The 15,540-nt window shown below is 38.9% G+C and overlaps 1 protein-coding gene across 6 annotated transcripts in view, besides 1 other annotated feature; it reads left to right on the plus strand.

The window, feature by feature from the left end:
- The window catches only part of DAPP1 (dual adaptor of phosphotyrosine and 3-phosphoinositides 1), a 55,507-nt gene that overhangs the window by 3,421 nt on the left and 36,546 nt on the right, over nucleotides 1–15,540 (plus strand). For all 6 annotated transcript variants that reach the window (XR_007096391.1, XM_017008024.2, XM_011531840.3 and 3 more), the window contains exon 2: nucleotides 15,376–15,498. Coding sequence is in view for 5 of the 6 variants with exons in the window: in XM_017008024.2 (XP_016863513.1) it covers nucleotides 15,376–15,498 (123 nt within the window). In the remaining variant the exon portion in view is untranslated. The remainder of the gene's footprint in view (nucleotides 1–15,375; nucleotides 15,499–15,540) is intronic.
- Nucleotides 1,800–2,169: an enhancer, noted in NCBI's record as "active region_21741". NCBI's record gives its function as "activates an Ori minimal core promoter by ATAC-STARR-seq in GM12878 lymphoblastoid cells {active_cell/tissue: GM12878}" and the evidence as "EXISTENCE:reporter gene assay evidence [ECO:0000049][PMID:35858748]".

Genomic DNA, 15,540 nt, shown 5'->3' on the forward strand with positions numbered 1-15,540 from the left:
ATGGCAAAATAAAACAAGTAACAAATACTGGAGATATCACCTAAGTAACAAACTGGTAAAGAATAGCTAGTTAAATTACTGAAAATTCCAGCAATTCTTTGGCTTTAACAAAGGTTACTATACTATTTCTACATATAGCTATATATATGTATAAACACAAAAGAAATAACAAAATGAAAGTGTTTTAGCATACTTTAAAATTAAATATTCAAATGATCTAGTCAGTTGTAACTCCAAGTGAGAAACATAATAAACGTTCTCTTTTTTAAATACTTTCTCAAATCGAAAGTTGTATAAGAAAGTGCCAGTGTTTGGCTGGATTGGCCAGTGCCAAAGAACTAGATTCCAAGCTCTGAATATTTAAATAAATTGATAACTAATTAGTCACATATAAGAGAAGTTTAGAGTAGACCATGGAGCAGCAAACCTTTTTTTTATAAAGGGCCGGGTAACGAATGTTTTAGGCTTTGCAGGCCTTACAGTCTCTACCTCAACTACTCACATCTGCTGTTGTGCAAAAACTACCAGAGAACACAGAAACAAATGACCGTGATGGTGTTCAAACAAAACGTTATTTATACACTGAAATGTGAATTTCATATAATTTTTATGAATATTTTTCTATTTCCCTCAAGCATTTCAAAATGTACAGCCATTCTTGGCTCCCAGTCCATACTAAAACAGGTGTCTGACAGGAATTAACCCTCAGCTGGTGGTTTGCTGACCCACGGAATAAATGATAATAAACAAAATGAGTCCGTATTATAAGGCAGGCATTTTGTAGACACCAGCTCTGGTCTTTGAAAGGCACTGGTATTCCAGCTTTACACAGGAAGAGACTCAAGAGCAGAAAAATCAGGTTGCCTACAGTCTCTGAGTGTCTGTGTTCAAAACCCATGCTGACTTCACAAACCAGGTTGTTTCCCTGCTGTGATAGTCCTAATTTACTGACCACCTACTATGCATCAGCACCATACCATTCACACGCATAATGCCATTTAGGCTTCACAATAACACTTTCAATACGATATCACCATACTCATTTCATAGACGCAAAAGGTGACTTCAATAAGCTAAGTATACGATCCAGGTCACAGACTTTGTAAGTAGTGGAGCTGAGAGACACACCTAGGAACTTACCCCAGAGCTTTCCACTGCATGGTGCTGCTTTGTAGAGCCCACTGGTCAAAGGTATGTATTCTAGTAATGGCAATTAGTAATTATTGGATGCTTATCATGTGCTAAGCACTAGTTTAAGCCCTTTGCCCATGTGAACTTGTTTAATTTACACATTGCTGTGAGGTGGGTATTATTACTAATGTTGTCCCCATTTATAGATGAGAAAAGTAAAGAACAGAGTTTTAATCACATGCTTAAGTTTCCATTCTAACATACCTTCAAATCCAAGAGTTTTGCTCCAGAGCCTTCATGCTTGACTGCTGATGTAACCTCCTGGTTTTCATCAAATTTCTCTCATCTTACTATACTAGTACATGTTCATAGTTCTTAATATGAACTGAGAGAAGCAAAGAAAGTTCTGTGATTATAACAAAGTTTACTATAAAAGACATTATTCTTTCTATTCCTCACATAATATACATGCACATGTACACAAAGCCAGGCCAGCATTCTAGTTAATCAGAACATTATTGAATTTTGTGTAGAATTCATTTTCAGGACTAGAAAAATTTATTCAGCTAAGAAACGTAAAGTCAAAATTTCAGTGGAACCTGTTTACAGCGGTGTGACACTAACTACAGCAATACAGCTTGTTCCTCTTCTGTGCACAGCTCTGTAATCTTGGATTCTAAAAACGGAAGGTGGTTCTTCTGTGGTTGTATAATTAGTATGTAACTAGTGTACAGTTCCATCTCTTCATAACTCAAGTGAATTTCCTCTTCAGTTGTGGTGTTTTTCTGTTCCTCCAAAGGGTGACTTCCTTCTACTTACAAGTGGAAATCTGTCCCACAGACTGTCCATGTTGTGGGGAGTCACTTTGTTTCATTCATTCACTCTTCTACTGGGTCATAGATCTATCTGTTGTATGATGACGCCAGGCAAGGCAGCATAGAGGAGACTACAATAAAGAAGGCATGGCTGTGCAGAGATGGAGGATTCATATGCATGTAGAGTTAGAATGCAGTGTTGTGTGGGCTGAGGGCTGTGACAGTGTCTAGATAAAACAATCTCCTATGGAAGGCTATCTTCTCCACAGTAGAAGTGGAGAAGATGGCCTTGGAGCTGATATGATTTTTGTCAGTTGAAGTTAGAAAAGGTGAAATTTTCTACAGAGAAAATGGCCTGAATAAAGGAGTGATGGTAGCAAAATATGCAAGGATTCAGAATTGAAAAAGCTCACATGAACTCAGACCCACCCAGTCCCCAAGACCCATCTGGTTTGTCAGCATTCTGGTGGTCTGGTTCTGGTCTCTACCTCTATCCATCTCATCCTATGAGAAGCTTCAACTTGGCTTTTCTCTTGTACTTCTGTTTTCATGACCATACTCTTAGATATTTTGTTAAAACCTGCATTAATTTCTGGCTCCTACCAACTCCCGTAGAGGATAAATTCCTATTCTGAGCCCATCGACCTCTGTGTCCTACTGCCTGATAGAGGCCTGCCTCTACCAAGAGCACAGTGAACACTGCTGGGCCTTATCAGTGTTCGCTGCTCACCACTTGCTTCTTTATGGTCATGCTTCCCCTGACCCTGCCCACTAGCACCTGCCCCCATTATCTGTTGTTAGACCTTCTTTGTTTAAAAATGTTTATAACTTTAAAAAGTGTAAGAGTAATCACTTGTTTTAATAACAGTATGATGATTATGTAAAAGAATGTCACTTTTGAGAGATGCATGTTGAATTATTTAGGGTTAAAGTGTCAGGATATCTGTAATTTACTTTAAAACTGTTCATCGAAAGAGTCAAAATTAAACGTTGTATTAAAAATGTGGCAAAAGGTTAAAAATTATTCTACCTGAAATATGGGTATTATTTCAATGCAGTAACATTGATGCTATTTTTCTACTTTCCAGTATATCTGAATTTATTTATAATAAATAGTTGAAAATAATAGTAATATATATTAATTATCAAAAATTAGAGAGATGAAGAGAAGCATCAAAATATAAAGAAAAGCACTAAAATGTCAGCCATGTACTACTACCTAAAATAACATTGTTCATCTTGATTCTAGTTTTTAAGAAATGTTTTTCTGTACACACACACAAACATATATAGAGATTGAATTGTAATCATATTATATGTATAATTTTGCTTTTGCTTTTTGGTAGGATATTTTTCCATCATCTCCTTCTTGATCTGTCTCAAAGTAGGCTCTTGCTTCCCTCTGAAAGCATGGATATTTAGGTTGATCTAGATTCTGGAGGGCCTAAAATAGATTTGGTCAATGAACAATGTGGACTCACTGAAGGTTCATAGGAATGTGGAATTACATAGTCATCATGTTTTGTTTTTAGGTAGATTAATCTGATAGTTCAGCATGATGGGTGGCAATGGGGCTAGAGCCAAGATAGTGGGTTAGTGAGGGAGTTTTCAGATTGGTGAGTAGGAAACTAGAGTGCTAACCCGGGAATAGTCAGGAAGGAACAAGGGTAGAATCCAGCAATTCCATTGAGCTAAGCAAAATAAGCGACTCATGTCCAAACAAAACTAGTTCTGCTTTTGTGTATGTTTTCAAAATGGTATCAAAGAAATTTTGAAAACCTTAATGTCTCACAAATATATTATAACTCATTGTTTGCTTTATCAGTATAAATTTCTAAATTTTCCTGGGTTTCATGTTACTGCTCCTAGAGTTCTGACTTATACAAGTTGATTGCATGTTTGGGTTGATTCACCAGATACTCTTGAAACCATTTTGCAGATGTCAGTCCTGAGGTACTAAGAGGTTTAGCCACTTGCTTTAGGCTAGAGCACAGTAAACTCCTTTTAATGGTGAACTCCTTAGGAGCAGGACAGTGGTTTATTCATCTTTGCCTTCTCCATCTGAGCATACCACTTGATAAAGAGCAGATGTTTAAATGTTGAATTGCCCCAAGTTGAGTCAAGGCCAAGACCAGAACTCAAGCCTCCTGACTTAAGCCAGTGAGCTTTCCACTGAACCAACGCTGATGATGTACTTGCATTCATCACTTTCAGACTCACTCAGTCCCCTTATGCCCAGTGGTTTTTACTGGTGGAATAAATTGACGTTGGTTAGAGGTATCGCCTAAACCATGGAATAGAGAAGAGATAACTAATGAAACAAGAATCTGCCTGTATTTTTTTTACAGACCCCAATGTACTTATAGCTCTTTCCTATAGCTGAAGCTTCCTGAAAGTGACCCTCTCTGTCTCCTACACTAGCCCACAATGGTAGGTTGTCAATGGCAACCACAGTTTGAAGACAATTACCCTGAACCAGCACTTTGTGAGGGATAAGTTACAAGAGTAACCATAGTAAGCCCAGAGTCAAGCTTGATTTTACTTGAAGATGAGCCCTCTTAAGAGAACCTCTGATTTTCATTCCCTGCCTAGTCATTCTAGGCCTTTTCAAGGTTTTTTCCAATCCAAATAAAATGTTCCCTGAGCCTCAGTTACTGGAGAGCAGTGGTGCTTTTTTGGTCTTGCAGCCATTCCTGTACTGTGAAGGCTTCCCTGGGGACCGAACAGAAGGATCTCAGTACAGTGAGATGCAGTTTTCACCCCTCCCGCAAGTAGTGGCTCTGTCCCTCAGGTCTGTCCAAATCTGACTTCCCTGGGTATGTTGGTCCATCTCTGAGTCAGGCTCTGTGGATTTTTCTTTATCTTTAAAGACATCTTTATCTTTCATTGTTTTCTCTGCCCCTGTCTCCTGGATCACTCTTTGGGTCTGCATGTGCATTCCCTAAGTCTCTGTCCCCATGTGCTTCTGGCTATCTGTGTGAGCTGGCGAGTCTATCTTGGTCTCTTGAGTTTTGTGTCTCTATCTTTCTATCCGTCTGTCTGCAGCTCTTTGACTTTTGTGTCTCTGAGACTTTGTGCCACTCTGTCTCTGAATCTCTGAGTCTCCATGTCTGTCTGTCTCTGTGTTTTCGTCTTCCAGAGCTTCTTGCATCATTTCTCAGACTTCTTCAAGAACAGGTTCATCCTGATCTCAAACTCCTACAGAATTCTCTCCTCCCTTTCAGTTTTGATTTCCATTAGCTGAGCCTTGACTCCCACCAAAAAACTTGGGACCTGCCTTTAACTCACAGATCAATGAGATATTTGCATGCTCCGCCTCTGTCATCACTCAGGTCTGTTTTCTAAAGCCTGGGGCAGCTGGTCTCACCATTTAGCTCTGCTCTTAGCTCATGTAAACATGGGCATTTAGAAAAGCAATTTTGAAAGATACAGCCCTGCTGGTTCCATCACAGAAACGTCTCTATTGGAGAGACTCTAGAGAATCTTTCTTTGGCCTCCCCTGTATATCACACTACACCTGTCTGAGACCATGTAAGAACTTCCAAAATCCTTTATAAGGCTTCGGCTTGATTCCCTCTATTTGAACAGGGTCCATTGCTATTATCAATGGAAAAATAAGCCCACACTTGTGAACATGTGACTTAATGGGCTTGTGTGGGCAACACCATCTTTCTTAGATATGTCACAACCTGATTCTAATATAAATTACAGCACTGGTAGCTCTTGAGTTACATAAGACACCCTAAACCCATGATTTCTAATGGCATAGAGGGCCAAACACTTTACCTTTCACAAAATCAAAGTATCTAGCACCGACCCTATGAACAAATGAGCATGAATGAAATCAGCAGCCAAGGAATCCCATGGAATAGTTCAAGTGGTAAGAACAGATTAAACCTTAGAGTGTGAACGCCTAATAGATTCATCTTTGTTCTATCACTGTTGTGTTCAGAAAGATTGTGAGGCTAAGTATAGGCTCAGCAAGAAAGACACATCAATTAGCTGTGCCATGTATGAACTTAGAGAAGGGGTGTGGCACATATGTTATGCATTTGTCATCTTTGGTCTAGATAGTTCAGAGGGGTGTCAGTGTCATATAAAAGTGAGAACAACTTTGAAAATGAAATAAGAGAAAATTTTCTAAAGAAGAATGCTTTTGTTGGCTGTTCAACTCCAGGGCATTTTGGCTGTTTTAACACAATCAGGAGTTTTTTTCCCACTTTGCGTTGAAATATATGTCCTCTTTATAACTCTGATGAAACAGAATTGAGGTTCTATTTCATGTATCTTTTCCAGGCAGGGAAAAATATATCATTAAATATGTGAATAATCTGTAGACATGAGTTACTAAGACATTTTGTCATCAAGAAATATACTATCTAAATGGATGTGTGGCATGTGTTTTAAAGTGCAAGATTGCTTTCTGTGTCCACCAGTTCTTCCAGAATTATTTTGCACCACTTCCCAACAGGGACCCTGTGCTCCAGCTAGGCATTTGGTTGCCCATGCACACCAAGCCCATGTCCACTCCAGTGCCTTTGCTTATGTCATTTCTCCTCTCAGAATGCCTCTCACTGCCTAATGAATCCTATATTCATTCTTCATACTGCAGTTTATCATTCTCCCGCTCCATGAAGTTTTCCCTGATCATTCCAGCCCACTGTGAGCTCCCCTTCCTATGCTATAATATTTACTGTCCATATCACTAAGATAGCAGCTATTTGGTGATTCTTCTATGTTAACCTGCAGATCCTTCTCTTTTCCATTCTGTTGGTACTGAAAAGTCACTTAGTACTTTGCTTTGCCCTTCTCTTCAAATGCCAAATTCTGTGAACTCAAACTGTTCACATTATTGAAGTGAATTAAAGTTTTCAGGCCCAAGAGTCCTTCCCATACATGCTCCTCAAACTCTAAAGTGCATAACAATCACGTGGGACTTAGCAGGTTGAGGGAGGGGCCTGAGGTTGTGTGTGGTCCATGTTGGCTGCTCATTAGCAACTCTTTTCACTTGACACTTCCCAGTAGTAAAAAGTTTCTTATTGCACCTGATTTTAAAACCATCACTCTTGGCTGGGCGCGGTCTGTAATCTCAGCACTTTGGGAGGCTGAGGCGGGCGGATCACGAGGTCAGGAGATCGAGACCATCCTGGCTAACAAGGTGAAACCCCGTCTCTACTAAAAATACAAAAATTAGCCAGGTGTGGTGGTGGGCACTTGTAGTCCCAGCTACTCGGGAGGCTGAGGCAGGAGAATGGCGTGAACCCGGGAGGCAGAGCTTGCAGTGAGCCGAGATCGAGCCACTGCACTCCAGCCTGGGCAACAGAGTCAGACTACGTCTCAAAAAAAAAACAACAAAAAAACAAAACAAAAAACACCATCACACTTATAAGTGCAGATGAAGGAAATGACCTAATTGGAAGTTTTAATCAACAGTAAGTCCAGTGTGAATCAGCTATGTGATGCAATTGTGAAGAAACTAATGCATTCTCGGGCTGCCTTATGTGTGCCCAGCAGCCAGAATAAGGGAGCTCCTGTGCTGCTTTGTTTTGCAGGTCAGAGTTTAACGTTAAGACAGATTTTTTAAGTTTGAAAGGTTTTCAGATGAGATGAGTTCTTTGGGTGATAAGGTCCCTGGATGATAAAGGAACTGAAAGCCTGTCATAAAAGGAAAAGCTGAAGATGATGGAAAGAGAAGAAGGTGCATTCTAAATGCTTTCAACTCTTTCTATAAGTATCATCTATGTAACTCCAAGAAGTAGCTCTGAAACCATCTGCTGAAAGCCATCTACACAGCAAAAAATGGCAATTCATTGTAGCCCAAGAGTTTTCTAACCATGAATCATGAACATATGGATTAAGCTTGCCTATACAAGTACTGAGTTCCCCATCATTAGCAATATGTAGGCAAAGATTGGATAAGAGTACTATAGAGTTTAGAAATTATTCAAACACTGTTGTTGTGCATTTCTGACAAGATCCCAGGTGATGCTGATGCTGTTGGTCCATACTTTAAGTAGCAAAGCTTTGCACTGTGGTTTAAACATCAGGTACAACCCGTTAGTAGGCTTAAAGTGAATTTAATGGGTCACATCAATATTCATTCAAAATAAAGAGAAAACAATATATTCAAGTTAATAGCCTATAGAAAGATAGGTGTTACGTCCTGTAACTTTTTGTTTTTTGTGCGTCTTTGTGACATATGTATGTTTATATATATACAGAGTGATATAAAATGTATTTTGTACTGTGAGTCAATTCAAAAAATTTAAAAGCCTCTCCTTTAAAGAACAGAACAAATGAGGTATAAAGTTAGATTAGTAAATTAAAACAGTAAAACCCAGTGGGATAAGAAACTATGAAGGTTCCACTATTCTGGAGCAATTTTCCAGAAGATTCTAGCTCAAAGAGGCCCCAGAATGAAAGGAAAGGAAGCTGAACCGAGGACCAGCTTTCTGGATCCAGCCTGTCCACATTCTCTGTGGCTGAGTTTATTTTCTGTATCTTACTAAGAGGCAGCTATGAAAATTCTTTAGTGGGTGGTGTTTCCTAGTTTTTTACTGTATCATGGAAAGGATAATATCACTGTTTCCTTCAAGTTGAATTGCTGGTTTTCATAATCTTATAAACCCAGTACAAATATTCTTTTGGAGCTTGATTAGTCTTTTCTCTGTTGACTTTATCAGACTTGAGACATAATTATGGCAATGTGTGGGCCTTGGGGAAAATGGAGACTATTAACATTCTTTCTAATAGGAGTTTCTTGCTCTTTTTTGCTTCTTCAGGGAAAATGAGACTAGAAGAATTTTTTTTTTAAGTTTCAAAAAATGAACCTATTCCCAACTGCATAACAGTGTGTTCCTACCACTTTGCAAATGTCTAGCATATCCATAATACATTGTTTAATTTAGCAAATCTAGTTTTTTTTCTGTAAAAGTTAAAGAATTGCATAAAAAATTTATAAAAGAAGAAAATTTTTCCAATACATGAAAATAAGAAGGTTCTCTGGCCAGGCGCAGTGACTCATGCCTGCAATCCCAACACTTTGGGAGGCTGAGGTTGGCAGATCACCTGAGGTCAGGAGTTTGAGACCAGCCTGGCCAATATGGTGAAACCCTGTCTCTATTAAAAATACAAAAATTTGCCAGGTGTGGTGGTGCACACCTGTAGTCCCACCTACTCAGAAGGCTGAGGCAGGAGAATTGCTTGAACCCGGGAGGTGGAGGTTGCAGTGAGCCGAGATCACACCATTGCACTCCAGCCTGGGTGACAAGAGTGAAACTCCGTCTCAAAAAAAAAAAGAAAGTTTTTTTCCTAGGCATTCTTACTAGTCACCTTGATGGATGAGAAAACTGAGGTTGCTACTTGCCAGGGGGTCACATAGTGAATAAGGTAAAAATTGTTGGAGCAGATAGACTACCTGAGGGAACGACCAGAGACAAATGCATGACCTCTCCTCACCAACAATTATAAAAACTTCATTACTAATCACATTGAGAAGCTGAAAATAGCTTTTCTATACTATCAAGAAGTTTTTAAAGTGTTCTAGATGAAAGACTGAATTATCATTCCATTCCCCCATAGAAAATTATATTATTAAATTATTACATGAAGAGACAATCAAATACCAGACAGCAAAAATATAGAGAAAAAAATTATAAGGTTTGATTCAACAGTTAATTAATACAAATACGTTATTTTCTCTGTGTTGTGATGTTTGTGATATTTTTGTTTTTAAAATTTGTAATTTGCGATTTCTCATTTTAAATAAATATTCCTTTCTTTTTTGTAATTTTGCATAATTTGTCTTAAAGAGACCTCCAGATTTTATAAGCTTCAAGACCATTGAAATCTGCCTCTTATCCCTAATAACTGGAATATTCAAATTTTTAAAAATTGAATATAGTTCTGGCCCGGCACAGTGGCTCACGCCTGTAATCCTAGCACTTTGGGAGGCCAAGGCCGGGAGATGACCTGAGGTCAGGAGCTCAAGACCAGTCTGGTCAACATGGTGAAACCTCATCTCTACTAAAAATACAAAAATTATGCAGGCATGGTGGCACATGCCTGTAGTCTCAGCTACTAGGAAGGCTGAGGCACGAGAATTGCGTGAACCCAGGAGGCAGAGGTTGCAGTGAGCCAAGATCATACCACTGTACTCCAGCCTGGGTGACAGAGCAAGACTCTATCTAGGAAAAAAAAAAATTGAATATAGAGCAAATTATAGAAACTGTAAGGTCCATGCAATTAGATTTTATGTAATGAGCTATTGGACATGCATATTAAGCCACAGGCAGCTCTATAAACATCAGACAAGGAACTGTCAGTATTCAGTGCCACATATAGAGCCTCAATATCCTCCACCTTCATCTCTCACCATTCCCAACTGCTGTCCTTCATCACTCACTTTGAATTCTCACATGACTACATGATATTCTGATTCTCATACACGCCTTGCATTCTCTCACTTCTAGGCCTTTGCTGCTGCTATTCCCTCCCATGTTATATCTCCCTGAACAACTGCGGATCCAAACCCCACCAGACTTTTAATAGGAAAAAGCCAAACTCTCTCTTTCTCTCTCTCTCTCTTTCTCTTTCTCTCTCTCTCTCTCAATCTTCACCTAAGTGCCTAGGCCAGTCCAAGTACTCAATAAGCAGTAGTTGAATAAATGAAAGAATATGGCAAATTATTAATAAGGTTATCTCTGGAAGTTGGATTAAGTAAGAAATTAGCTATTTTCTTTTTTTCTAATTAAATTTGTAGCTAACTAATATAGAAATCTATTTTTTTCATTAGAACAAGCTAAATTAGAAAAATCTGATCAAGCTAAAGTCTCCTTTGAACAAATTCTGGTTCCTTCTACAAAGAAAATCATACTTATGAATTTGGTGTATATTTTTAAAACTCTTATTTTATGTTTTTATATATCTTAATATGTAAGCATATTTTTGTTGTTGATATTTTATAGGGGAACGTGTTAAAACCAAGTGGTAACATTTGGTGCCTGCAACTAGTTCTTCTAACTTTACAATATATGTTGGGATCTATCAACTTTGATGTGTGTGTGTATACACACCTATCTTCAGTGATTCTCAGTGGTGGGGTGTAATTGACATCATGAACAAGACAATTCTTGGTTCTTCAAGACTGTATCATTTGTAGGATGTTAAGCATCCCTGGCACCCTCTCACAAAATAACAATAGCACCCCGACTCCCTGCCCTCATTATCTGGCAACCAAAAATATGCTCACAGCTTTTCAAACACTTTTGGTTAACTTTTTACATAATCTCATCCTTTTAGCACTCCACTTTATTTATCATCTCCATGTCGATGGACATTTAGGATGGCTCTAGATTTCTTACTCTTACAAACAATTCTGCAGTGAACACCCTTGTTCATATTTTCTTCTGCTCATGTATGGGTGTTTCACTAGGTGGAAACTAGAAGAGGAATCGCTGGTCATATGTGGAGGTTCAGTTACACCCTATGTGCTAAATTCCCCTCCAACTTAGACCCTTATCAACAATGGACAGTAATAGCCATTGCCCAAATTCTCCAATACTTAATACTATCCAATCCTTTCATTATAACCGATCTGGTGGATAAAGAAAAATATCACATTATTATTGTAATCTGCATTTCTCTGATTAATAGTGAGATTATTTATTTGAAACACATCTTTCCTCTTCTGAAAAACACATACTTTATCTTCTTTACATGTATATATTTTAACTTTTACTATATATGCTTTATAATCAGAATAAAAGGTAACACAACCTTAAAAAAAAAAAAACAGGTTATATTTCAAGGCCTATACAGATGTTGGCTCATTCAGGGAACCTGATTTCGATCTTTCTTTTTAGAACATCCCTTGGGTACTTTATTCTCTCTTGGATATAGTTTGCAATATGCTTGTCTTATTCTCCTGACTAGATTAATGGTTATTTGTCACCCAGTCTGAGGCTTTTCCATTTTTGTTCCCTTTGACCTGCCTAGCACAATGCCTTGCACAGATTTGAAGCAATGACTGAAGGCAGAAAAGGTTGATTATGGGAAAACTACCAACTTAACTCTATTTTTAACTTTTATGGACACAGTCTTGAATCATCCTTATCAAAGGTGGACATATTTCTACAAAGAATACAAATGTCATTAGGATATACATTCACTCCCCTGAAAGAAATGCTCATCAGAATGTTCCAGGAAAGGAATGCTTAACTCAATTAAAAGGGGAAGTTTAGGTTTTTGTGGAAAAGCTATTTGGGGAATGAGGATCCTTATTGCACCACTGACATCATGGAATGTAGGTGGCTGCCTGGAAAGCTCTATACTGGGCTTGCCCAGGCCCTGGAGTCTGTAAACTCCTGAAAAGGCAATATTGACTCAGGCAAAGCTGCCACCAAGGAATTGCAGTCTCCAAGAATTTTCCAGACTGCAGCTTAGTGTGATTCTTCTTGCATTATACTCAAGTATTTCTTATGTGTTTATGGTATATAGTTATTGTTTTTTAAATTATCATTAAAACATTATTAGTAAAAACTGTTATCAGGCTATAATTAGACGTCAAAAGAATTCTATAAATGTTTTAAACGCAAACTTCCAATTCTATTGAAAAGAATCCAAAGGAATGTCCAAATCCTTTAAATGTTTTGGAATTTTGCGAATCAAATATTGCTTTACATAAACAACTGTTATCAGGCTATATAATTAGATGTAAGAAGAATTCTATAAATGCTTTAAACACAAACTTCCAATTCCATTGAAAAGAATCCAAAGGAATGTCCAAATCCTTTAAATGTTTTGGAATTTCACAAATGAAGTATTGCTTTAAATAAACAATCTGCTGGCTCGAACTGAAACTTATGCTGAAATGTTTATTATAAAGTTAATTATTGGCAAAATATATCTAAGTTTTTATAACCTTGTGGAAATTTCACCTATCAAAAAGAATTAGAATTTTGGCTTCAGTTGAACTTGAACTTTATTATTGTTTCACTTATAATTCTTCCAATTGTTCTTTGAAAGCATTTTGTAGTGAACAGATTTGAACTTGTCTGGGAATCAGTTCAATGAATGGAGCTGCTTTGGGTAAATAGCTCTGTGTTTATTCTTATAAAATGTGTTTCATGCCATTGCTTTCAGCTAGCAAATATATTTCTAATATAGGATGAAAGCATCTCTGCCCCAAAGATAAAATATGCTAAGAAACATGCATTAGGAAATGCAGATTTAGAAAATAGGTATCTTGGAGACCTATGTAAAAACTTCCTTCCACAGGTGCACTTAGGTTTACTCTTTATTACTCAGGCTAAAAGTTTATGCCACAGGGATGTCTCAGTGGATATCAGTGTGGTTCATGACAACAAGATCCCTTAATGCCAGAATAGGGCTATTCCTCAAAGCTTTTTTACACTATACACACCTCTTTAATAGCATTTAGTTCATCACACTGACATTATTTGTATAATTGCCTGTCTCTCTTTCATCTTCACTGACCTAAACTGTGGTCCCTAGCAGTCAGCAACTGCCTCTGCTGTCTAGCTTTCTGTTATCTGATCTAAATAAAAAGTAACAAAAATTCTATTTGAGCAATAAGAAAGTCATGCCACAGAGGGTAAATTGAAAGTTACGGCTTTTTGGATCTCAATGGCTTCCTGGTAGCAATTAACGCATACTAAGCACTGCTTTAGTTGCCAGGCTTTATGGAGCACATCTCATCCATGTTAATGTGTGCAGGACTCACAACTGGCCTATGCCGTATGCCTATTAGTCATACTATTTTAAACATGAGGAACCAAAGCTCAGATTGGTTAAGTAACATGTCCAAGGCCATACAGCTAGTAAGAGGTACCACCTGGATTGGGACCCAGGCAAAGCAACCCCCGGGGCCACAATCCTAATCATCACATTTCATGCCTCTATGACATCGTTTAAAAGAATGTGAATGACCTGTTATTGGAGAAAAGAAAGATGGTGCAGAGCAATATGCCTAGAAAATAAAAATAATAAATAATGCTCGTATGTTTGTAGAATCAGGAGTGGAGGTACACATCCAATGCCTCTAAGTGTGTAGACTATCTCTTAAGAGGAAGCACAGGAAAATGGTTACCAAGGTGTCCTCTAGGAAAGGAACAGGGAGCCTGAGGGCCCAGGGTGAAGAAAACATGTTTTGCTATGTCTCCTTTTGGACAATTTGAATTTTTTTTTTTTTACCATAGATATATATTACCTTTTCTAAAACACAAATATCATTTTGAATCTCCTTGAGCATTCCCTAGCTCTTCAGATACTTGTCAGGCTGAAACAGTACTTGGTGGCATTTACTTCATACTATAATTCCTTCCATCCAGCTTCGTTTCACTCATGACAATAGCCTTTAGTATTATAGCACAGAGGTTTCGCCGTGAAAAGGTACCACACTTGAAAAAGAGTGTGAGAGACCAAAAAAAGAAGGAAATTGGTCAAAGCCTATTCTTATGGTATTTTGACTTGGACTTTAAAAACCAATTCTGATTACAAAGCAACACTGTATTAGTTTGCTAGGGCTGCTATAACAAAGAACCACAGCCTGGGCAGCTGACTATAAGAAATCGATTGCCTCACAGTTCTGAAGGCTCAAAGTCGGAAATCAAGGTGTCAACAGGATTGGTTCCTTCCGAGGGCCGTGAGGGAGAATCTGTTCCAGGCCTCTTCCTGTGGCTTGGAAGTGACTGTCATGTTCATGCGCTGTTCTCCCTGTAGGCAAATCTATCTCCTGATTTTCCCTTTTTACAAGAGGACACCAGTCATATTGAATTAGGGCCCACCCTAATGACCTCATTTTTTTTTTTTTTGAGATGGAATTGCACTCTGTTACCCAGGCTGGAGTGCAATGGCATGATCTTGGCTCACTGCAACCTCCGTCCCCCAGGTTCAAGTGATTCTCCTGCCTCAGCCTCCCGAGTAGCTGGGATTATAGGTGCCTGCCACCATGCCAGGCTAATTTTTGTGTTTTTAATGGAGACGGGGTGTCACCATGTTGGCCGGGCCGGTCTCGAACCCCTGACCTCAAGTGATCCGCCTGCCTTGGCCTCCCAAAGTGCTGGGATTACAGGTGTGAGTCACCACACCCAGCCATGACCTCATTTTAACTTGGTAAAGACCCTGTCTCCAAACAAGGTCACATTTTGAGGTACTGAGAGGTTAGCACTTCAACATAAGAACTTTCAGGACACAATTCAACCCATGTCACGCTACTATTAGTCAACTCTGTGCTCTCCTTTCAGCCCCACCCAGGGATTTCCTTGTCCTAATGTTGGGGCTGAGAGCTGGGTCTCTGGGCTACTTATCTTGAAGAATGTTGCTAGGTAATCTTTGCAAGGAAAAGCCAGTGCAGGGGGAGTCATGCCATGGTTTGGCCTGAGTGAAAGCGCTGTTCCCTCCTTTCTAGGTGGTATCACGGCAACCTCACACGCCATGCTGCTGAAGCTCTTCTCCTCTCAAATGGATGTGACGGCAGCTACCTTCTGAGGGACAGCAATGAGACCACCGGGCTGTACTCTCTCTCTGTGAGGTAAGGTGCTTCAGGGCTCTACGACTTCAGCATGGGCTCCTC

Source organism: Homo sapiens, chromosome 4 (genome assembly GCF_000001405.40).
Source record: "Homo sapiens chromosome 4, GRCh38.p14 Primary Assembly".
Taxonomy (NCBI): Eukaryota; Metazoa; Chordata; class Mammalia; order Primates; family Hominidae; genus Homo; species Homo sapiens.